Here is a 24324-nt window from a genome sequence, read left to right on the forward strand (position 1 = left end):
TATAGAATTTTTGTCTGCATTTTCTTATCTTTCCCATGGTCATCATTGTCATAGATTGAGTTCCCTTTGCAAATAGTTTCTCAGATGAATATTTTCCTGATCTCAGTAACAATGTACAAAAAAGACTGCTCACAGAAACAACACCTATAAGAAGTAAGGAAAGCAGGGTCAGGCAGAAGAGGAAGTTGAGCTGCAATTGCAGTAGAGACCTCAACAGATCCCATAGGGAGTTCTGAAACTGGGATGGTCCTTCAGAGGCTAGAAAGGTATTCCTTGTACCCCTGTACTGACAAGCCATTAAATATGAGCTACTCCAAGGAGGGATATGACCTCGGAGAGGTAGTTCCCTTCAGCTGAGAGCACTGCCTGGTGAAGAACTCAGCTGTGACCTAGTTGCAGGTAGCATTACAGCAGTCAGGTGAAATGAGTGCCTAAATCTTTAGCTGGATGTGGGAAATTGGGTGGCACACCACATCTATAACAATATACCTTGTGCTACACATATCCACTCATTTTCTCTATTAAATTTACCTCATCTTTCTTTTTCTGGGGAAACTTACAAAATGAAGGCTAATCAGACAAACAACAGCCCTAGCCACTGGCAGCTGGTCATGGAGCTACAACTGATATTCATCACCTTCTTCCTCTATTTCTCAGTTTAAATTCTCCTCACTCTCACCTAGCATTTCTGCTGATTTAGTTGGTTTACTTAACAGGGAGGAGGCAAGGAACTATATCCTCAACCCTAGTCAACCCTGGAGGCCTAATCACCATGCCCTTCTCGGCCATGACTGCTGAATTTGCCCGTCTACTAACAAAATTGGGCATGGGAGTACCAATAGACAACTCAGAGGATCCAAATTCTTCCCTGAACCTTCTTCACCTAATGACCAGGGTCAAATAGCCCTGCCACTGATGACTCCTTTCTTTGACTGATGGTCTCTTTGTGCTATAAATCTATAGAGAACAAGCAATAATAATTTAAATTTAATAGTATTTTTTTTTCTGTGTCCTCTAGTGGAAGCATTCTCCTCTGGGAATCATAACCTCTAGATGACTGAACTTAGAATTATGGGGACTGAAAATACAGATTCTCCAAGAGGCAGTAAATGGATGATATGTAGGGCCACCCCTTTGTTCCTGGAGCCACATATTATACCTATTAGGAATACAGAACCACATGATAAGACATTAATTTGGGATAAATGCCACATCCTTGAAGATGGCCCCCCATCCCTGTACAGCATCATCCCAAAGTTGGCAACTCAGCTACACTTTCAAAAAGCTGTTTCATGCCACCATCTGACCAGCAGCTTCTGGGTGATGCAATATGTGACAGGACCAGGGATGATGCCACACCCCCACTGCCACTGCCATATTTTCTCTGCTATAAATTTGGTCCTTGGTCTAACATGCTATTAGGCAGGATTCCCTGTTTGTGGATCAGACACTCAGTAAGCCCTCAGATAGTGGGGCTGGTTGAGGCCCTGGGGACAGGAAAGCCATATTTATACCTGAAATATATGTTGATTCCAATCAAGATAAATTCTGTGTAGAAGGGGTCCAATATAATCAATTTGCATCAAATGATTGGTAGTTCTCCTTGAGCTAGACGTCAAGGCTGTTTCTCTGTTGGTCCTTGTAGCTGTCATGTTGGATTTTTGGCAGCAGCAAAAGCTAGATCAATCTTAGTGAGTGAGAAACTATACTCTTAAATTAATGCATAGTCTCCCTTTCTGCCATCATAGCTATTCTGTTCATGCAACCTTGTTCCTACCCTGGGGTAACCAATGACAGAGACTGGCTGACATCAACTGACCAAAGCATTAATTTACTTGGTTTTTTCTTTTTTTTCTTTTCTTTTTTTTTTTTTTTGAGACAGAGTCTCACTCTGTCACCAGGCTGGAGTGCAGAGGTGCTATCTCGGCTCACTGCAACCTCCGCCTCCTGGGTTCAAGCGATTCTCCTATCTCAGCCTCCCGAGTAGCTGGGATCACAGGCACACACCACCATGCCCAGCTAATTTTTAGTAGAGATGGAGTTTCACCATGTTAGCTAGGATGGTCTCAATCTCCTGACCTTGTGATATACCCGCCTCAGCCTCACAAAGGGCTGGGATTACAGGTGTGGGCCACCGTACCCAGCCGGTTGTTTCATTCTTTTCCTTCACATTCAGGAACACTGAAATGTGGTGCAAGTATCTTCACATTTAGGGCACACTTGCATAGGGCCATCCATATTTCTCTTCCCCATATCTGCTTGTCCCCAACATTCTAATCACTCTCCTTCAGACCCCTGACCATTTAGTCAAGCCATTTGCAACAGTCCATGAGGCAGTATATATTTACTCCTTTGACCACTTCTTCTACCATACAAAGAGGAAGATGAGCTGCACTGCCCAAAGCTGTGTTCACTGGAAGGATTCCTCTTTACATAACCACATACAAAACCAACATATCCACAACCAAGCTTGCCTTTGTCAGCTGATCATATGAGACTATGTATGTAGCCCTAGGTATAAGATGGGGGAGTAGAAATGGTGCAAGAGTAGTGGATGGCATGGGAGTCTGGGCTACTTGCTCATGCAGCCTTCTTGTGCCCTCTGACCCTGCTCATGCTCAATCCCAGATGTACCACTTCTATACTGGATTGCTGTTGGATTGTAATTTATGACTTAGTGGGTCTGATAGAACTCAAGTAAGGTAGACAGTTCAGGCCACATGGCCACTCAAAGTTCTGTGATTAGGTGCTCTGTTTCTACCAGAACCCAGAAGCACACAAGGATCTGATTTCCAATTAGTACATAATTCTCCGCCATAGATGGTATGGCATTGCTTCAGAGCCCTAGGTGTGTACATTGTCATGAACCCTGGAAATATTATTGGTCTGTCTCCTCCACCAACCCTTTCAAAGCATGGCTAGGATTGCACACCATACAGGCTGACCATTTTCTTGATGATATAAAGGCTTGTGAGCCTCTTCTAGATGGTTTAAACTCAAACAATACACTAGTAGAACTGACTGTGTCTGGCAATGGAGATGCTGTAAACGTCAAGCCAAATCAGAAGTTGGTGGTGGAAATAGAAACATCCTGAGTATTTTCAGAAAGCACACATCACAATCAGTAACAATAAGAACAATAAAACAGCCATGTCATTAATTGAGCATGTGCTAAGCAATCACATTGTTTCATTATTTTATTTAATCCTCACAATAATCACGTGTGAAGTAGGTGCCATTTTTCTCATTTTTGTAAATACAAAAGTTAAAGCATTGTAAGCCACCATGCCCAGTCAAATTATTTAATATGCTTTTAAAATTATTTTCAAAGGATATTAAATTATTTAAAAGCATATTAAATAATTTGGCTGGGCATGGTGGCTTACACCTGTAATCCTAGCACTTTGGGAAGGTGAGGTGGGAGAATTGCTTGAGGCCAGGAGTTCAAGGCTGCAGTGAACCATGATCATGCCACTGCACTTCAGCCTGGGCTACAGAGGGAGACCCTGTCTCAAAAAATTAGTTAATTAGTGAATTAATTTAAAAATAAATATTAAATAGTTTTCCAAGTCACACAGTAAAAGTGTCATATCAGGGATTTAAACACAAATTCATCTGACTCTAAATGCTAGGTTCTTTCCCGCTGTATTGTAACCACTCCTCAAATTATGAAATTCTCCCCATGAGATAATCTTTCAATATTTTCTATTGATTCTTGGTCATCTTCTAGAGAAAACAAGTGAATCTGGAAAGTTAAGGTGAGTTATAAAGAATGTTTAGCATTTTTTTTTAAAAAAGAAAACCATTTTTATTATAGAAGAAAATCATGTTCATTATCAGATAACCATAAACTATTTGTGGAGCCATCACTTGCCCCCCGTTCTTAGGCCTGACTATTGAGATTTACTCAGACATGCCATGTACTTTATTCGCCTTTCATTGTCCCTCACCACAAATTGAGTCCTTCCCAACCTACACAATTTAAGTCTTTTTAAGTCCACTGAGTTCATATACAATTATGGACATAGTTTGAATATTTTCCCAAAGAGGCTACTCCACTTTCTTATAAATCAAGGGTGTAGCTAAGTACTTCGAGGGCGAGGAAGTGGATTTATCTAATCCCACTGTCTCAAAGTCCTATCTAGTCGTTGCATCAAACTGTGCACCAATATCAAGTTCTGTTCTACTTCATACGTGTGGGAAGATGATAATCACAGGTGATTTGACGTGGCTAATAAAATATAAATGGAAAATGTGATGTATCACGTCTAGGTTGGAAACAGAATATTTAACATTTCTTTATAGCATTTCCTGATCAGAATCTATTTCAGACAAACATTTCTTCTAGCCAATGCTATTTGGTGACCAATTCCTACCATGGTAAGATAATGTAGTGGATACTTTATGAATCAATGTTACAATTTGACTATAAAATGTGTTTTATTGTGCATATATTGTGTAGCACCAGCTGAAGAATTCGTCAGAATAAGCTAACTGCTAATAACAAATAATTCCTGAATCTCAATGGCTTCCTACAGTAAAAGTTCATTTTTTCCTACTCATGCAAATGTTTGTAAGGATATTCTTTGATGGGCATAATTTCTGAGTAGCTCACCCCCAAGTGATGACTCAGGTATCCAGTCTCCATTAATCTTGTAAGGCACAATCTTCATGCAGTCCCTCCAAGGTTGCCATGAAAGGTAAGGAGAGTATGGGCAAGGCACATAGAATACTTAACCACCTTAGCCAGGAAGTGACATGGATCATTTCCATTCATAGCCCATTGGCCAGAACTTGTCACATGGTCACACCAAAAATCAAAGAAGCTGGGAAATGGAGTCCCCAATTGGGCAGTTGCAACATAGCTACAACTCTACATTATAGGAGGGTCCATGTCTCAGGTAGTCACTCAGCTGTTTCAGCCACAGCTGGTGTCAGCTGATTTGGGTTTGCAAAAAGCTTTTTAAAAGCAAGATCACTCAAATAGTTTTCTTTACTAGACACTGACACCATAACTAGTTGTCATACAAATCAATAAGTTATCCCATGCATTTTGCTGGATGAATTAACCAGACTGCAGTGGGTTGAATGGTGGCCCCCCAAAAAAGATATGTCCACCTGGAACCCATGCATATGACCTTATTTGGAAAAGGGTCTTTTCAGATAAAATTTAGTTAAAGATCTTAAGATGAGATCATCCTAGATTAACTGGGTACACCCTAAATTCAATGATATCTGTCATTAAAAGAGAAAGAGAATGGAATAGAGAAGAGAAGAAGGCCATGTGCAAATGTAGGGAGAGATTGGAGTGATGCCACCACAAGCCAGTAAATGCCTGGAGCCACTACAAACTACATGAGGCTCCCCCAGAGACTTCAAAGGGAGCATGAATGGCCCTGATGACAACTTGATTTTGGACTTCTGGCCTCCAGAACTGTGAAAGACCACATTGCTGTTGTTTTAAGCCCCCAAGTTTGGGGCACTTTGTTATGGCAGCCACAGGAAACTAATACATAGCCTAAAGTAGTATGTTATGAACTGAACTGTGTCCCTCCAAATTTCATGTGTTGAATCCCTAATACGGTAGGACTTGTATCTTTATAAGAAGAGGAATACACACCAGGGGTGCATGTGCACAGAGAAAAGACCATGTGAAGACACAGCAAGACGACAGCCATCTATAAGCCAAGGACAGGCCTCAGGAGAAACCACACCTATTGACATCTCCATCTTGGACTTCCAGCCTCCAGAACTTGATAAGTATATTCCTGATGTTTAAGCCACCAGATGGTGGCATTTTGTTATGATAGCCCTAGTAGACTAATACAAGATGTGCCAGAGAGATTTTCTAGAGGTAAAACTTCTAATGAAAGAACCAGAAGGCCCAGAATGTCCACATTTGAGAGAGTACTTCTAATTTAATAAGCGAATAAATATAATCATAAGCCAAAAGCATGTATAATGTAGGCTTCTTACCTATGATACGTGCTTAGCATAGTACCTAGTACAGAGTAAACACGAACATTTTTTCAACAATTTCAGCAATTTCAACATGAACATTTTTTCATTTCTAAAACAAGTTATATACAGCCAATAAATATATTTTCCCTTAAAAATCTATTTTTAAATAATGATTTTTATTATAATTGAGGCATCTTATAATCAAGGAAATAAAGTATATACAAGCACAATATTAAGCACTTAACATGCTGTATTGCCTTTAATACTCCCAACAATCCTAAGGTTTGTGCTGTTAATGGAGCATTGGCAATGGCCTGCACCAGCTCAAAAGAGCTAATTGTGCTCATCTTTCCCCAACTCTGGTTGGCAACTTGAAATCAGCCACAGTGCAAGTATTTATACAATGGAAATTGCCATTTATCAATGTACCACTAGACTAGACACTATTATTATTCCTACCACACAACTAAGGAAACAGAGAGGCTTACTAACTTGCCTCAGTTAATGCTAAGCAGCAGATCTCAGATTTCAATCCAGGTAGATGGGATTCCCAAAGCACAGACTCTTAATGCCATTGTTAGGCTGCCACCCACTTGAATAGTATTTAACATAAAGCCATAGCTATAGTAGTAATTCTGGAACTTCCTAAATACCATAATAACAGCAATGTTTCCTTTGTTCAATTAGTTAAGTTTTGAAGATTATATACTAGCACACATGACAAAAAGTAAAACCATTACTAGGTAAAATGGAAATGAATTTGCCAAGTTATATGGGCACCTGGTTTTCACATCATTAAAAATGATACATGTAATAAGATGCTATTGAGATACCTAACAATAGTACCATAGGTTTACCACTGTCAAAACTTAATAATCCAACAATGTAAATTCCTTGTTCTTTAAATAATAACCTTGTTTAAAGTTATACAGTACATATAGTACATAATCAACAGTAATGCATTCTTTAAATGAGATATTTATCATTTTCTTCCTACAAAGTTTGGATTATGGTTGTTATTCAGGAATGTATAAACTATGGACTGGAGAGGGAGTTATCTCTCTTTTTTCTGGTGGTGAGGGAAGACAGGATGTAATCTAACTTTACTTTTGCTTCCAAAGATCAGCAAGTTTACAACTGTAAGCAAGAAAGGAATTTGGTCCCACTTAAAATGCCTGCAATTACTGATTTTGACTAAAAGCTAGGAAGGAAAAAAAGCTGCTTCAAGGGATTATAAAACTCCCCCAAAGGCCAGAAAATAGACTGCATTTATTTTTCTTGCAGCTCACAAATATTCATAGTTTCAAGAGTACTTGATAAAGGACAAAAAAAAAAAAAAAAAAGAATACTAGACTCTTTTACCCTATTCCCTAAAGTTGATGGGATAAACAGTTCCCAGCCACTCCCAGTCACTTTCATGAACCTAAGAAAATGCTGTTGTCTCTTTAAAAACAAGAGATTGAGAAAGGAAAGGCAAAATCTGAGATCCTATGACTATTACCTCATGGAAGCATGCAGATTCTAGCTTGTTTCCAAATCTTTGGTTGTGGAACAGAAGCAAAAAGGACCTCCTTCCTTCCTTTCTTCCTTCCTTTCTTCCTTCCTTTTTTAATAACTTAGGGGAATTGATAAGTGGGACAGTAGGAAAAAAATGCTTGTCACCACACAATGGACCATAAGTAATGTTAAAAACAGGACGGAGAGGTTAGGGTCCTCAGCACTCCTTGCTAATTACCCATCTTTTTTCCACTCTACATTCTTAAAGGTTTCTTGAAATGAAAACAAAGGAATCCAACCAAAACCAACATTTTGATGAGTAAAGTGTAAATGAATGAGAAACAGATGGGCTTGGTTTTCCCAGGAGTCTATAAATGAAGGGCAAGGTACTTGGGGCAAAACGCATCGGGGCTTCACTGGCAAATTCTTTGCTCTGTTAACGAACCCAAAATGCAGCCAAAGTTCATGCACCCACATCTCCACATATTGGCAGGACTCAGAATGAAGGATCTGGATGCCAAAGAAGCAGGCTTTGGAGACCCCCAGGACATTGTTCGGCACCTCACAAATCATATTTTACAGGTGCCAAAGGCAGTTGCAAATCTCACATGTGCAGCCAGAAGTTTTCATTCAAGAACCCAGCAATTTTGGCTTTGATCAGAAACCACAGATTGGTGTAAACATTTTTCTTGCCACGTTTTATGATATTTATGCTTTGCGTGGATCCTCCTGGTCTTATGATGACAAAGTGTTCTGCAGGCATCTGCTGCCAAGTCATCTCCACCTTAGCCTTCAGGTGGAGAAACAAGGCCTAAGTAGAGGAAGCGTGATGTGCCAGAGGTCATTCCCTAAATCAGAGGGGAAGAGCTCGTCTTTGTGCATCCAGGCCAAGGCTGAATGCCCCTCCTGTCTCTCCTTGGGATTAGTATCTCCCTACTGTCTTCAAATCATGTATATATCAAGTTACAGCTCAGAAAGAATGCATTTTTGGTTTTTCATTTTGGGGGTAAGTATAGGCCCCCAAACCACGGATAATTTGAAAACCATCCAAACTGACTTTAAGATTTTTGAAAATAATTTATTTGGCAATCCTAAGACCCAGGATTGGCTATTTGGCCAAAGTAACATTCCCTTCAGTGCAAATACTACAATTAATGGGCCACATCGTCCTCCGCTCTAGAGCAACATAAGCGGCCAGCTGCTGGAGAACGCTGTGCGGTCTTCCAGTGTAAACGCCACTGATATCGTCACCATCAGAAGGCTATAAAACTGATTGATTATAAACACAGCTCTCATTTGTTTACAGCTTACATTTTTGGGTTCATGGTAATTAGCACATTAGCCATCTCTCAGGGTGAGGGCTCACAGGTGCTGGGAGAGAGCCTTCCAAGGGAAACCAAGCCAGGAGGAGACCACAAAACCTTTCACAAAGCAAGCACTGGCCTTTACCAAAAACAGACTGGGAAAACGCTGATTCTGCTGAGTACAGGGTAGTTGGTAACACCTACATGGGGTCACCTGTAAGGAAGGGCATTTAACTCCCATAAGCAACTTCTTCTAACACAAGGTAAGGTTGGAAAAAATCCAAGACATGTTAGAAATGTGCGGGAGATGTCCTCTGTGAGGAGCCCACAGCTGCTAGAGCCTTTTAAGATTCCTTCCCTTTCTCTCAGGTCAGCAAAGACAGATAAAGATCACCCTTGCTAGTGGTAACTGGTACTTAGTTTCTTTCAGTTATGGTTAAAATAAACTCTTTTAGTCTTATAAAGATGCTGCTTCTCAGACACTCAGAGAAAGCAGCCGGCTCGGCTGTCTCCCTGGATTTTTATTCTTGTCTCAGTTCCTGCCCCTTCCAGTTTTGCTGAGCTTTCCACCATCAAGGCAGGTTTTATTTGGACAGCTGGGGCCATCAGATTGGTGCAGATTGTCTAATTAGTCAACCAAGCCTCTTGGGTAAGTGAGTTTTCCATATTAGCCTCTGTGAGAACTCCGGAGAGCCTAAAAAGCTTCCTAAATCATTAAAAGGATATCCTTTTAAAGGAATGTGCTCGTGGTTTTGGTTGTGAGATCAGAGAACTAGCCTTTTAAAAACAAACAAACAAACAAAACAAAAACCCTGTTTTACTAAATTCCTAAATCTTTTTGCCTAGCACAAAATTATTTTCAGTATCTTGTGATGAACGGTTAACAAGTCAAGGGCTCTGGATCTGAATACAGAACATTCAAATTTGTTCATCACAGGCCACATTCATGGTCAGAAATTTGAATTCCATTTTCCATTCATGATATTATTTTAATAATTAATATTCATATTGAGTTTTACAGTTTTCTAAGTTCCTTTATCTATATTATCTCTTTTGATCTTCATAGCAATGCCACGAAGTTGGGCGAGCACCACGATATCTGCGTTTTGTAGTTTTGGAAACAGACTCAGAAAGATTAACTGACCTATGCCAGATGCCAAAAAGCAGTAAAATGCTAAGTCTTCTCATTTGAAATTCACTTTCTTTGACCTTCATCACACAATTTGTGGGAGTTTTAATATGAAGGATATTCCTTTGAAGTCTTTGTTTTGTCTGCTTTCCAAACTTTAGCTGCTAGAATAGGAGAGTTGGCAGCTAATTTCTTGGTGTAGAGAAGTAGCTGCAAATAATAATCAAGTGGTCTTTAGGTATTTCAACTATCTGTAAATACCTAGTTAAAACACTACAGATATATTGTGAAAGAGCTCAAATAGGAGCATGTGCTTGCTTCATCGAGTTGCCGAAGTTCAATTTATGTTGTACTGCAGTGTTTCCATTGGCACTGCATATTGATTATTTCCACAATTTTTAAAAGATATGCTCAACACTTTGCTTATATTTCATTGACTTTACTTGCTGTAGTGATTACTTGAGGGGTCACACTAAAATTTTGGTATTCGTGAAACCTTAAGGGCAAGAAATAAAAATGTCAGACTAATCAATATTTCCAGATACATTTGTTCTCATAAAGAAATTCTAAGAATCAAAGAATAGGATTTGGGGCAATATCTCCCATTGGGATGATTTCCACTCCAAGCAAATGAAGATGGGTTTTGATGAGTTCAATCATTCAACTTATTTTTATCAGCTTCTATCACATACTAGGCACTTGTGCTAGTTCTAGGGATGTCTGAGTGAGTAAGAGGAGATCAGGTACTGTTATCCTAGAAATTCCAGTCTAATAAGGAGCCTTCCTTGGGGAGCCTCTCCAGCTGCCAAGAGATGCCCTTCTTCTTTGCTCTCATAACACCATGTGCATATTGAATTTCCTTACATTTGGCACACCAAATAATAACTGTTGACTTGATCTGTTGGCCACCTTTCTGTCTTACTCATAATCATGTCCCTAGTCCCTGGGTCCTTGACTGGCCTGCAGTAAGTTTAATAAATTCTTCAGTGAATAAACGAATCTTATTTCATGCTGGATTAGAAACCCAAACCACAAATGTCAAAAAAACCATCTTATCTATATAGCCCAGTGTGATGCCTTTAGAAAACCCCCTTGTCAAAACTGACTTTCAGAATTTGTTAGGACGCATAAAACACACTTTGTAGCTGGAGAAGATTGGGCACTATTACAACTCATTGAATACACATTTAAAAAAAATTCCTCTCTACCCCCATTTATCCTCCTCCTCTTCTTAGCCATCTCTCTACTTTTTCAGCTGTTATTTTCTTTAGCTACCTTTCGCTCGCTGCTTCATAGCTAATGTTGTAGCTGTACCTTCTGCCCTTCACATGTCTAATTATTCTCATGCTTCATCATCCCTTTAACTTCTTTTCATATTTCATTCTAACTTACAAGAGTTCATTCTCGACAACTGCTATAGAAGAGATCATCAAAAATTCTACTATATAATATTAGGCAGAATTCAAATAAGCCTTAGGTTTTCCTGGTAAGCTCTTTGATAAAAACACAATGTAAATTTTTCAGGTAGAAAGTCCCATGAAGAATACAAGGTGGGGCCACACAAGTGAGCCACACAGACAGGTCGAGGAGAGATCTTGCTCCAGGTCTGAGTTAGCTGTGTAGACCAGACCAGTTCTGTCAGGATATCTGACATGATATGATGCCTAGATGATGATAAGAGATGATAAGACCTAGGGAAGTCAACTCGTCCTAACCAAGCCCAAAGAAGTCAAATGTCATTTACTTCCTTTAAAATGAGATTTACAACTTCTCAACAGATTAAATTCCCAGTTTTTCAAATTAGTCCATTTTTGTTTGTTTCCACTTATTTTTATAGGCAGATATATATAAGAAGCTAAATCATAATCCACTTCCTCATTCAGCACAGAATTAGAGCAAGGGGAATTGATTGGATTCAAGAGGCATTTATCCACTTCTCTTAAAAATTCTGGAGACGAACTGAAAAGTATTCAGAGCATACCTCTTTCATAGATGCAGTCACAGATCACCCATTTTCTGTCACCACAATCTTCCACATGGGTATCATAATATTAATTTCTCTTCATCTAGGTTGATATACTTTACTAGCTTAAGGCTTGATTGTAATATGCATACAACCACAGATACCTAATGAGTACCTACTAAGGGCCAGGCACCATGGCAGGATCTGAGGACACAAAAATAAATGAGACAAGGCCTAGGTCCTTGAATCTAGTAGAGGGAAATAGCCATATAAACAAATAGATGTCTTAAAAAGATGTTATAGATACTTTGAAGGAAGTCCATGCCAGGTACTAAGTTCAATTCTAGCTGGCTAGCATGGGGTGTGGCTGGTTAGAAAAGGTTTCTTAGTGGCAAATGACTTCAGTTGTATATATGAACCAGCTAAAGGGAGGAGGAAGGAGAACATTCCAGCCACAAGGAATACTATGGGCAAAGACTGTCATTACATAGTTTTGTATATTTGAAGAATTTCCACTGGTTTGTAGAAATTCAGAAAAAAAAGACGCAGGCTAAACATAAGAAGAAATAATGAGCTAAGTTGTATGCATGTCAAGTTACAGGTGTCCATGGAAAACTCTAGCAGAATGATCCATTAGGCAGTAGATAATAGGTCTGGAGATGGAGAAGAAAGTAGAGCAGGAAATAGAGATTTGAAAATCATCAATACTCATGTTGAGTTGCAGTCTGGGGAGTGAATGCAATTGCCCCCAGGAGGGCATCCAGAGTGAAAACTGGGAAATAACTGAAAATTGTTTCAAAAAATGACATCTGGGAAACAATTTAAAAGGCATACAGAAAAAGAGGTAGCCATGATGGAGGCTGAAAGGGATTCAAAGTAAGTGGTTTGAGAACCAAGAAGGGAGAGAGCTCTAAGGACAAGGATAAATGTATAGGAAGAGCCAGAAAAGACAAGAACTGGGAAAGGCCTGTTGGATTCTGCTATAAATGGGTCACTAGGGCCTTTGGCAAAGTGGCTTAATATAGAGTACCTTAGACAGAAGCTCATGTTAGCAGACTAAAAGATGAAGCACACAAGTAGGCAAAGGATGTGTAGCTATTATTTGAGGAGATCAGCTTTACAGGAAAGGAAAGGAGTATTAGCCAGAGAATTAACAGATTTTTTTTCACCAATTTTATTCAACGTTTTACTGGCAGACCTATCCATTGGAATAAAGCTATAAAAAAAAATCAAAGGCCTAAATTTTGGAAGAAAGAAGTAAAGGTGTTCCTACTCACAGATATGATTTTTTTTTTGTAGAAAATCTTAGGGAATCTATAAAACAATTACTGGAGTAATAAATGAGTCTAACAAGGTCACAGAATACAAAGCTAATCAACTGCATTCTTATATACTACCAATAACAATTTGGAAAATAAAGTTTTTTAAGAAACCAATTTCAGTAATATATAAAACAAAAAAAAAACCCTGGAAATAAATCAACAAAAGATATATAATACTTCTACACTGAAAACTATAAAACATTGCTGAGAGATAGTAGAAAAGTTCAAAATAAATGAAGAGATAAACTATGTTCATGGATTGAAAGACTAATTAAGTGGTGCACAATTACTCAAAATAGAAGGAAGAAATGCTGGTTAGGCAATCAATCAGTTAGAGAGATATCCCTGAGAAGCAATAAGCTTTCCATTTTTAAAAAGTCCACTGCACTTAGGGTCTTACCACCAGGTGAAATATGCTGTGTTGGGCAGCTCCAATTTGGATTAATTTGTGGTCTCACCATCCTTTCCTGCAATAAAAGCCCTCATCCCAATTGCTGAACTGTCTTTAATATATTCATTTTTAATAACAATTTATTTGGTTTATCCATCTACCCAACCCCAATACTTACTCCAAATAGTATGTGATCCTTATGTGCAAGGCCCCATCATATTCATTTTGTCAATAGTGCAGGGCACATATTAAGTGTTCAACACATGGTTGTTGAACTGGGAAAAGACAATAGAAAGAAACTATAATTCAACATACATTCCTTACAATATTTTAAATTTATATATGCATATAATAATAGGAATCTATTATTTTTCTTTCCTACTCCTAGACCACAAAATGCCACCAGTTCAAACAATGTTTAAAAGGCATACATCTTAAGTAACAGTTAACTGCCTTTAACTCAAGGCAGTATGGTGCTCTTTGACAGAAAGCTGGAGCTAATAGTAACTTGGTCACTCAATCACTCAGGCATTGTTAGCCCTATTTTAAAAACGAGTAAACCATAGCTTACAGCAATTCAGTTACTGATAGAATTAAATGAAAGAATCCCAAATACAGTACACTTTCAGTAATTATTCTCTATTTTAGTTAAAGTTATATGTTTTAAGCTGTATGTAAGCAATATGTTTCCCTAAATAGTGCATAATTATTCTTTCCATAGGCTGTTTACCTCGAATTATAGTCAGCCACAGTGCTAAAAGCAGATGTTAGTCACTTCCTGAAAAGTCTTCATCCCCAAGATCTCAGGTCCTACAACTCTTGGTTTTTCCTAACCTAAGTCATCCTTCTATTTTCCCAACCACTGTGTTAGCTTCCTTCTCTTCTTCAACAGACTCTAAGCTGCATGATTCTGTTTTATCTTCACTAAGCATGGTTTCCTTCAAATAACTTAATGTAATTCATTTGCTTATTTGTTATTCATTCAAAATCTAATGGGAACCTCTGTCAAGCTGCTTCTAATCTTGTTTTGCCTTTTTTCTGACTTGCCTACTATACAGGAAGTTCCAAATCTGTTTTACTCACCACTGTATCTCCAGCTCCTATCATAGGATCAGACACATAATATACACTCAATAAAACTGGGTAAAGGTGTAAATAAATGAAAGAATTAACATATAAGATTTCCACTTCTGCATAAAAGTACAAGGAGCTCCATGAAGCCACTCTCCAGTGAAACTGGTGAAAATTATGATTAAGAAAAAAAAAGGAACACTTAAAGGAAATGGTTCTAAGGGCTTGCAAATGAAGAAACATTTATTCAACAAAATCTACTAAAACCCAGTAAGAACTGCAAGAGTGTGTAGGATTTGAATGAAGAATCATACCCTCCCTCCTCCTAGCAGTGAAACAGAAACTCCACTCCTGACTTGGTATAGCCAAAGATACAAGGCTTCCTTCCTCTCTCTCAAGCACCCAGTCAGAGGCTATTTCCCAGGAGGCAAAGGATGTCAGCAATTCTCATCCTGCCCTCAGCAACAGCCTCAACTGTTGCTGACACTAAATTCTTGGAAAGTGCAACAGTGAGGTGGGAGCTGCCATTTTCTGCCCAACCTCCACTCATAGGATGAAGAACATGGTGCCACTGAGAATACCAGGGCTCTTAATGCCCTAACTGCAGCTCATGGGGTAGGGGTTCCATACCAAGGAATGCAAGCTGAAGACACCAGGGTCTGCTGCCTCCATCCAGTGAGCACTTAGCTCTGAAAGCAGGCCTGTCACTCAGAAGGAAGTAATTTATTGTCTCCATCCCTCCTACCCCATTCAAAGAGCTCCCAAATCTCTTCCCCAACGAATTTACTTCATTTGCAACAAAGTGTGGAGTTTAGCCCCAAGGGCACTCTCGGAAATAAGGGAATTGTGGTGACAGGAAATTGGGAAGAGATTGATAGATTCAATTGAAGGGGACTAGTTCACTGGAGAGAAATGGGAAAACAGGCAGCTGGGAAGAACAACTGGAGTCTGAACAAATCCCAAATACTGCCCTCTGCAACGTTATCTTCCAAGGAGCCTGAATTTAATTAGTTTATGAAGCAATTTATGCCCCAAGACATTGTTGAAAACAATAGAGCAATCAGCTGGCAATTAGTAGTGCTTAATAGCTGGATGTGGTCAGAGAAAGAGACTGTCAAAGACTGTCACTGCCAAAACCACTTTCATCTTAGGGTGACTGTAGGCATACCCAAGATTGTGTCCCCTGAGGAGCAACATCAGAGGCTTCACACTGTAGGGGGGAAACAGACTGCACTAAAATAATCCAGATAGTCATTAAATAAGTACATAAGCAAATAACAATAATAAGTCCCACAGTGGGGAATCAATACCCAGAGTTGCTACAATATATTATCTAATATGTTCAGTTTTTATTTTTAAAATGGGACATGCAAATAAACAGGAAAGTATGATTCATTCACCAGAAAAAAGTAGGAAACAGAAACTGCCTGTGAGAGCAACCAGATGTTAAATTTAACAATGACTTCAAAGTAGCCATTATAAATGTGTTCAAAGAGCTAAAGGAAATCATAATTAAAGAGCTAAAGGAAGGTCTGATGACAATGTTGCATCAAATACAGAATCTCTATAAAGAGATAGAAATTATAAGGAAAAAACACAGTGGAAATTCTGGAGTTGAAAAGTACAATACCTGAAATTTTAAAATTCACTAGAGGAGCTCAACAGTAGATTTGAACTGGCAGAACAAATAATTAGCAAACTTGAGATAGATTGACAGAGATTATACAATCTGAGGAACAGAGAGAAAAAAGAATGAAGAAAAACAAATAGAGCCTTAGAAGATGTGAGACTCCATTAAGGATATCAATATACTCATAATGTAAGTATCAGAAAGAGAGGAGAAATACAAAGGGAAGAAAAAATATTTAAAGAAATAATAGCTGAAAAGTTCCCAAGTTTATTGAAAAACATTAATCTATACTTCCAGGAAGCCCAGAGAACTCCAAGTAGGATAAACAAGGATCTGCAAATTGATATATTGTAGTAAAAATATTGAAAGCCAAAGACAACAAGGAAATCCTGAAAGCAGAAAGCAAAAATTAACTCATTCTCATACAAGGGAACCCCAATAAGGTGAACAGCTGACTTCTCATCAGGAACAATGGACTCCAGAAGGTAATGGTATAATACATTTAAAATGCTCAGAGAAAAACAGCTGTCAGACAATAATATTCTATCCTACAAAACTATCTTTCAAAAATGAAGGCAGAATAGATTCCCAGATAAACAAAAACTGAGCAAATTTGTTATTAGCAGACATGACTTACAAGAAATACTAAAAATATTTCTTCAGGTTGAAAGCCCCAGATAAGAATTTGAATCCGCATACTAAAAAACAAAAAGAACCTGTAAAGGTAATTATGTAACTATAAAAGACAGTATAAATGCATATTTTTCTCCATTTCTTAACTGATTTTTAAAAAACCAATTGTATAAAACAGTATATTAAAAAAATTATTGCCGGGCCGAAACACATAGAAATGTAATATATTTGCCAATATCCTAACAAAGGAGGTGGGTGTAAGCAAAGCTCTATTGGACTAAAGAAATGACTATAGATGACTCAGGTCTACAGGAACAAGTAAAGAAAATAAGAAATGATAAATGAGAAGATTAATATCATAAAAGCTATATATACTTGTTCTCCCATCTTCTTTCAGCTTCTTTAAAAGTCATAAAATTATATAAAATAAGTTATAATAATATACTTTGAGGTTTGTAACATTTATAGAAGTAAAATGTATAACAATAATATGCATAACCAATATAAATATAATACTATGTATATAACAAAAAGGGAAAAAATATAATAGAGCTATATAGAAATAATGTTTCTATATCACACTGAAATTAAGTTAGTATAAATCTGAAGTAGACTCAACAATAGATAAAATCAACAAAACTAAAAGCTGGTTCTTTGAAAAGATTAACAAAATTGACAAACCTCTAGCTAGACTGACTGAGAAAAATATAGAGAAAACTCAAATTATTAGATTTGGAAATGAAAGACTGGGTATTACAACTGATCTTACAGAAATAAAAAAAATCATACAGGAATACTATGAAGAATTGTGTGCTAATAAATCCAACAACTTAGATGAAATGAAGAAATTCCTAGAAAGACACAAACTATTCAAACTGACTCAAGAAGAAATAGACAATATGAATATACCTATAACACAAGTAAAGAGATTCAATTAGTACACAAAGAAAAGCCCAGGCCCAGATGGCCTCACTGGTTAATTCTACCAACACTTACTTAAAGAAGAATTGATACAAATCCTTCAAAAACTATTTCAAAAAATACAAGAGGAGGGAACTCTTTCCAACTCACTCTATAAGGCCAAAACCCTCAATTATCCTGAAAATGAAACCAAAAGATATCACAGAAAAGAAATCTACAGACCATTATCTGTTATTAATATGGACACAAAATCCCCAAAAAAATAGTAGCAAACGGAATTCAGCACCATATCAAAAGAATTATAAACCATGACCAAATAGGATTTATCTCAGGATGCAAGGTTGGTTTAACAACTGAAAATCAATTAATGTAATACACCATATCAGCAGAATAAAAAATAAACCATATCATCATCTCGATAGACAGAGTAAAAGCATTTGACAAAATCTAAAACCTTTTCATGATAAAAGCACTCAACAAACTAGAAATAGAAGGAAACTTTCTCAACTTGATAAAGGGCATCTACAAAAACTCGCAGCAAACATCATGCTTAATGGTAAAATACTGGATCTTTTTTCCCTAAGCTCAAGAACATGACAAGGATGTCCATTCTTGCCACTTCCATTCAACATTATACTAGAGATTTAAACTAGGGTAATTAGGCATAAGGAAAAATAAATAAATAAAAGGCATTCATATTGGAAATGAAAAAGTAAAACTATCTCTACTTGCAGATGGCACAATTTTGTATACTGAAAGTCCTAAGGAATCCCTGAAAAACTACTGGACTAAATAGATGACTTCAGCAAGGTTATAAGACACAAGATCAATATACAAAAATCAACTATAATTCTATATATTTTTAATGAATAATCCAAAAATGAAATTAAAAAACAATTCCATTTGATAGCATCAAAAAGAATAAAATATTTAGGAATAAATTTAACAAAAGAAGTGTAAAACTTATACTCTAAAATCTACAAGTCATTGTTAAAATAAAGAAGATGTAAATAAATAAAAACACGCTATCTTTATGGATAAGAAGACTTAGTATTTTTAAGATGCCAATACTCTCCAAATTAATCTGTACATTCAACACAATCCTCATCAGAATTCCAAGTGGTTTCTTTGTGGAAATTGACCAGCTGATACTAAAATTCACGTGGAATTGCAAGGGATCCAGAATAGCCAAAACAATCTTGAAAAAGATGAGCAAAGTTGAAGGACTCACAATTATCAATTTCAAAACTTACTTCAAAACAACAGTAATCGGCCGGGCGCGGTGGCTCACGCCTGTAATCCCAGCACTTTGGGAGGCCGAGGCGGGCGGATCACGAGGTCAGGAGATCGAGACCATCCTGGCTAACAAGGTGAAACCCCGTCTCTACTAAAAATACAAAAAATTAGCCGGGCGTGGTAGCGGGCGCCTGTAGTCCCAGCTACTCGGGAGGCTGAGGCAGGAGAATGGCGTGAACCCGGGAGGCGGAGCTTGCAGTGAGCCGAGATCGCGCCACTGCACTCCAGCCTGGGCGACAGAGCGAGACTCCGTCTCAAAAAAAAAAAAAAAAAAAAAACAAACAAACAAAAAAAAAAACAACAGTAATCAGGACAGTGTGGTATTGGCATAAGGACAGACATAGATCAATGGAATAGATTGAGAGTCCTAAGACAAATCCATGTGTCTATGGTCAACTAATTTTTGACAAGGGCACCAAGACCATTTCATGGAGAAAGAATAGTCTTTCAGCAAATGATGCTGGGTATCTTAGTACATTTTGGGCTGCTATAACACAATGCCACAGATAGAGTATTTTATAAAGAACAGAAATTCATTTCTCACAGTTCTGGAGGCTGAGAAGTTCAAGATCAAGTTGCCAGCAGGTTTGGTTGTCTGACAAGGGTCCAGTCTCTGCTTCTAAGATGAAGCCTTGAACAATGTGTCCTCCAACAAGGAAGAATGCTGTGTTCTCACATAGCACAAAGTGGAAGGGTGAAAAGCAATGAACTTCTTCCATTAAGCCCTTTTATAACAACATTAATCCATTGATGAGGATGGAGCCATTAGGACCTAAACATCTCTGAAAAGGTCCCATCTCCTAACATTGTTGCATTGGGGATTATGTTTCCAACACATAAATTTGGGGGGACATATTCAAACCCTGACACTGGAACTACTGGGTAATAACATGCAAAAGAATAATATTGGACACTAACCTCATAGGACATATAAAAATTAACTCAAAAGGATCAAAAACCTAAATGTAAGAGCAAAAGCTATAAAATTCTTCGAAGAAAACATAGGTATAAATATGCATTACTTTGCATTTGACAATGGCTTTCTAAGTATGGCACCAAAAGCACAAACACCAAAAGAAAAACATAGGTTAATTGGACTTTGTCAAAATTTAAAACTTCTAGGCTTTGAAGGGCACTATAAAGAAAGCAAAAAGACAATCTACCAAGGAGAAAATATTTACAAATCATGTATCTTATCAGGGACTTGTATCTAGACTATATAGAGAATTTTAAAAATTCAATAATAAAAAGAGACGTAACCCTATTTTAAAAGGATTGCAAAGGATCTGAATAGATATTTTTTCCAGAGAATGTGTACTAATGGCCAATAAGCATATGAAAAGATGTGTGACATTGTTAGTCATCAGGAAATGCGACTCAAAACCACAATGAGATATAATTTCACACCCACTAGGATGGCTAAAATAAAAAAAGACAGATAAAAACAAGTATTGGCAAGGATGTGGAGAAACTGGAACCCTCATACATTGCTGGTGGGTATGTAAGATGGTGAAGCCACTTTTGAGAGCAATCTGTCAGGACCTTAAACTCTTAAATAGAGTGTTACCACATGACCCAGAAATTCTACACCTAGGAATATACCAAAATAAATGAAAACATGTCCACGCAAAAACTTGCACATGAATGTTTATAGAAACATTATTCATAACAGCCAAAAGGTGGAAACAACCTAAATGTCTATCAGCTGGTAAAAGCATAAACAAAATGTGGTATATTCATACAATGGAATATTATTTAGCCACAAAAGGAAAGAAGTACCAATACATGCAACATGGCTGGACCTTGAAAACATTATGCTAAGTGAAATAAGTCAGTCACAAAAGATTAAATCACATTATATCACGTATTATATGAAATGTCTACTTATATAAAATGCCCAGAATAGGCAAATTTATAAAGATAGAAAGTAGATTAGTGGTTGCTTAGAGTTGGGGACAATAGAGGGTATGGACTGATCGCTAAAGCACACAGGTTTTCTTTTTGAGGGGATGAAAAATTCTAAAATTAACCATAGTGATGGTTGTACATATCTGTAAACATATTAAAAACCATTAAATTGTACACTTAGATGAATTAATTGAATGGTATATGAATTATATCTCAATAAAGCTATAATAAAAATAATATGCATATACTGTTTTAGGAAAAGGGAATAAAAGATTTTAAAATGTTTCTTTTTCACCTGTTTTTGTAAAGGGGCATATTCTGAAGCCTTATGAAAATTTTGAAATTAGAAGTGAAAATGAAACATACCTTAAACAAATTTAAACAAGGTAGAACTTTTTGTTTGGAATACATTTTCCTAAATCTGCTGTTCTATCTTGATCACAAGGATCCTCCTTAGGGAGGCCTCTCCAGAAGCTACTGGGTCACATGATACCATTCACATGTCTTCATGATGGATTATCACTACCTAAAATTTTCTTGTTTATTATCTGTTTCCCTATATGAAAATAAAATTCCATGTTCTGTCACCAGGCTGGAGTGCAGTGGCGCCATCTCGGCTCACTGCAACCTCCGCCTCCCAGGTTCAAGTGATTCTCCTGCCTCAGCCTCCCATGTAGCTGGGACTACAGGCATGCACCACCATGCCCAGCTAATTTTTTTGCATTTTTAGTAGAGACGGGGTTTCACCATGTTGGCCAGGATGGTCTTGATCTCCTGACCACGTGATCTGCCCACCTCAGCATCCCAAATTGCTGGGATTACAGGTATGAGCCACTGCGCCCGGCCTGAATCTAATAATTTCTAAAACTTGACTTGTATTTATATATTGTTTGTTTATTTTACTTTCCTAGTAATTCATTTTTACGGAATTTTTTTCAAACATCAGGTTGTGACAGATTTAAACTTTCAAAAAACAGAACTGGTCCTTCACCACAGATAGTTTGAGAAATACTGGTTTAGGTGACCATCAAAAATTTTTGCTCTGCTTCCATAATGTGTTAATGCCAAGAAGTGTTCACAAAGCCAAGGATTGTATTTCCCCATGCCCTTACGTGGAGGTAAGAGAAAACAATTATCCTCAGAAAAATAATGTGAGCAAAAGTGATGTTGTGTCCCTCCTGAAATGGTTAATAAGGGACTGTGCCCCTTAACTGTGATAACTTTATGCATCCACTTGACTGGGTTAAGGGATGCTCAGATAGCTGGTAAAATATTATTTCTGCATGTGTCTGTAAGAGTGTTTTAGGAAGAGATTGGCATTTCAATCCGTAGACTGAGCAAAGATCTATCAACATGTGCAGGCATCATCCAATCCATTGAGGGCCTGCCTGAATAGGACAAAAAGGCAGAGGAGGGTGAACACCTACCTTCTTCTTGAGCTGGGATATCTACCTTCTCCTGCCCTCAGATATTGAAGCTTGCCTGGTTCTTAGGCCTTCAGATCATAGGACTTTCACCAGCAGCCTCCCCAGGTTCACAGGCCTTCAGCATGAGACTGAGAGTTACACCATCCCCTCTCTGGGTGCTCTGCCTTCAGATTTAGGCTAATTTACCCCTGGCTCTCCTGTTCTCTAACTTGCAGACAGCATACTGTGGGACTTCTCCGCCTCTGTAATCACATGAGGCAATTCCCATAATAAATCTCTCTCTCGATAGATAGATAGATAGATAGATAGATAGATAGATAGATAGATAGATCTTATATATCTATATATATATACCCTTTTCCTAAAGACAACACAGAAGGCCATAGACCAGGACAACCACAGAGACTCTGATATGTCTGTGAAATAGGTTTTTATTACATTAAGCTCAGGACTTATTTGTTACACTGCTAGGATTACCTTAACTAATAAGGTGCTTAATAAATGCTTGTTGAATGAGTGAAAGAACAAATGAATGCTCAAATGGTAAAATGCCATTGGAGCAGCACTACTACAAGCACCAGGCAACAAACTACTGTTCGCCAATCAATAAGAACATAAAGATCTTGTGCCAGAATAGAAATCAAGACATTCTTGCAAAAGAAAAATTTAGTAAATTAAGCAATGTGCTTATTATTGCTACTAGGAACAAATTATGAACCAACATCGGTCCACAGACCACACTTAGAGAACACTGAATTACAGGACATTTTCTAAGTATTGAAAGAATCTAAAATTATGTTCAAAACCACACAAATAGTATTTATAAAATCCATTCAAACTAATCTCCCATTTTCGGTTCACTTCTAAATTGCTTATTATCTGATAAAGTATGATTGTTAATTAAATTATATATATTTAAAACAGATTTATACATGTGTTTATGCATCCAGCCATCCATCATCTATCTATCCAAATTTTAAACTCTTTAAAGAGGAGCATGGATCAAAGGACTAAATACATACCAGAGAGTAACCAACTGTTTTATCTAAATAATACATACATATGTACAACATGCAAAAATATGTCAGTGCTTCAGAAAGTACGAAACACTTTTTAAACACACTTTTCATATTTGTTATTTAATCTTCGTTATAATCTCATGGGATAAAGTTACCATTATTCTCATGTTACAAATTTAAAAACTGGGGCTACCTAGGCAAAGTGATATTAGGAGATAATACAGGTAATTATTGACAAGCTCAAATATAAATACTACTAAAGAAAAAAAATGGGAAATGGGGACCCGAATTATCCAGTTAATCTACCTTTACCTGTCAAACTCTTTGAACAATGTCTTCACTTTGTTAATGCTGGCACAGTCATGGTACTGTGGCACGTAAGAAAAACAAAGGGTCTGATTTACATTGCTGTTTATGTGCAGCTGTTATGTATAAAAAGCGAAGGCTCACATTTGGCCATAATTTCTGCTTGCAAAAATAATTTGAGTAAACACAAGTTATTTTTTAAGAATCGACTATTCCCATGTATTAAGCCTTCTTTTGCAAACACACTGACCAGGACTGGGAATCTGTTGCAACATATCAATCCTTTGAAGTACTTTCCTTCTTTTAAGTTATCTTTCATCTTTCAACCTATAAACTCACAATCTGCCAGAGTCTTGTAGCCAGGTTTCTAGAGTAAGCACGCCAGAGGTCAACCTGCTCAGTTCCTGAGCCACCTGCACCACATATTTGTCAGATTTGAGCTTCAAGTTTTCTGATACTTATATAATCTTCAGTTAAAAATTTTTAAATACATGTTTTATTATGACAAGCCCACAACTCTGCCCACTTTCATCTCAGAAATTCCAA

General features: G+C 37.5%; 1 long non-coding RNA gene across 2 annotated transcripts in view, besides 1 other annotated feature; it reads right to left on the reverse strand.

Annotated features, from left to right (window-relative positions):
• The window catches only part of LOC105370507 (uncharacterized), a 144575-nt gene that overhangs the window by 34376 nt on the left and 85875 nt on the right, over positions 1-24324 (reverse strand). The window contains exon 5 of one of the 2 annotated variants that reach the window (XR_943882.3): positions 13746-13842. The exons of the other annotated variant lie outside the window; for it this stretch is intronic. This is a non-coding gene — a long non-coding RNA (uncharacterized LOC105370507). The remainder of the gene's footprint in view (positions 1-13745; positions 13843-24324) is intronic. 2 annotated transcript variants of the gene reach the window in all.
• Positions 6248-6749: an enhancer, noted in NCBI's record as "NANOG hESC enhancer chr14:54551221-54551722 (GRCh37/hg19 assembly coordinates)". NCBI's record gives its function as "activates a minimal SCP1, AML or CMV promoter by ChIP-STARR-seq in primed H9 embryonic stem cells {active_cell/tissue: H9 hESC(primed)}" and the evidence as "EXISTENCE:reporter gene assay evidence [ECO:0000049][PMID:30033119]".

The sequence above is a fragment of the Homo sapiens genome, chromosome 14 (genome assembly GCF_000001405.40).
Source record: "Homo sapiens chromosome 14, GRCh38.p14 Primary Assembly".
Classification (NCBI taxonomy): Eukaryota; Metazoa; Chordata; class Mammalia; order Primates; family Hominidae; genus Homo; species Homo sapiens.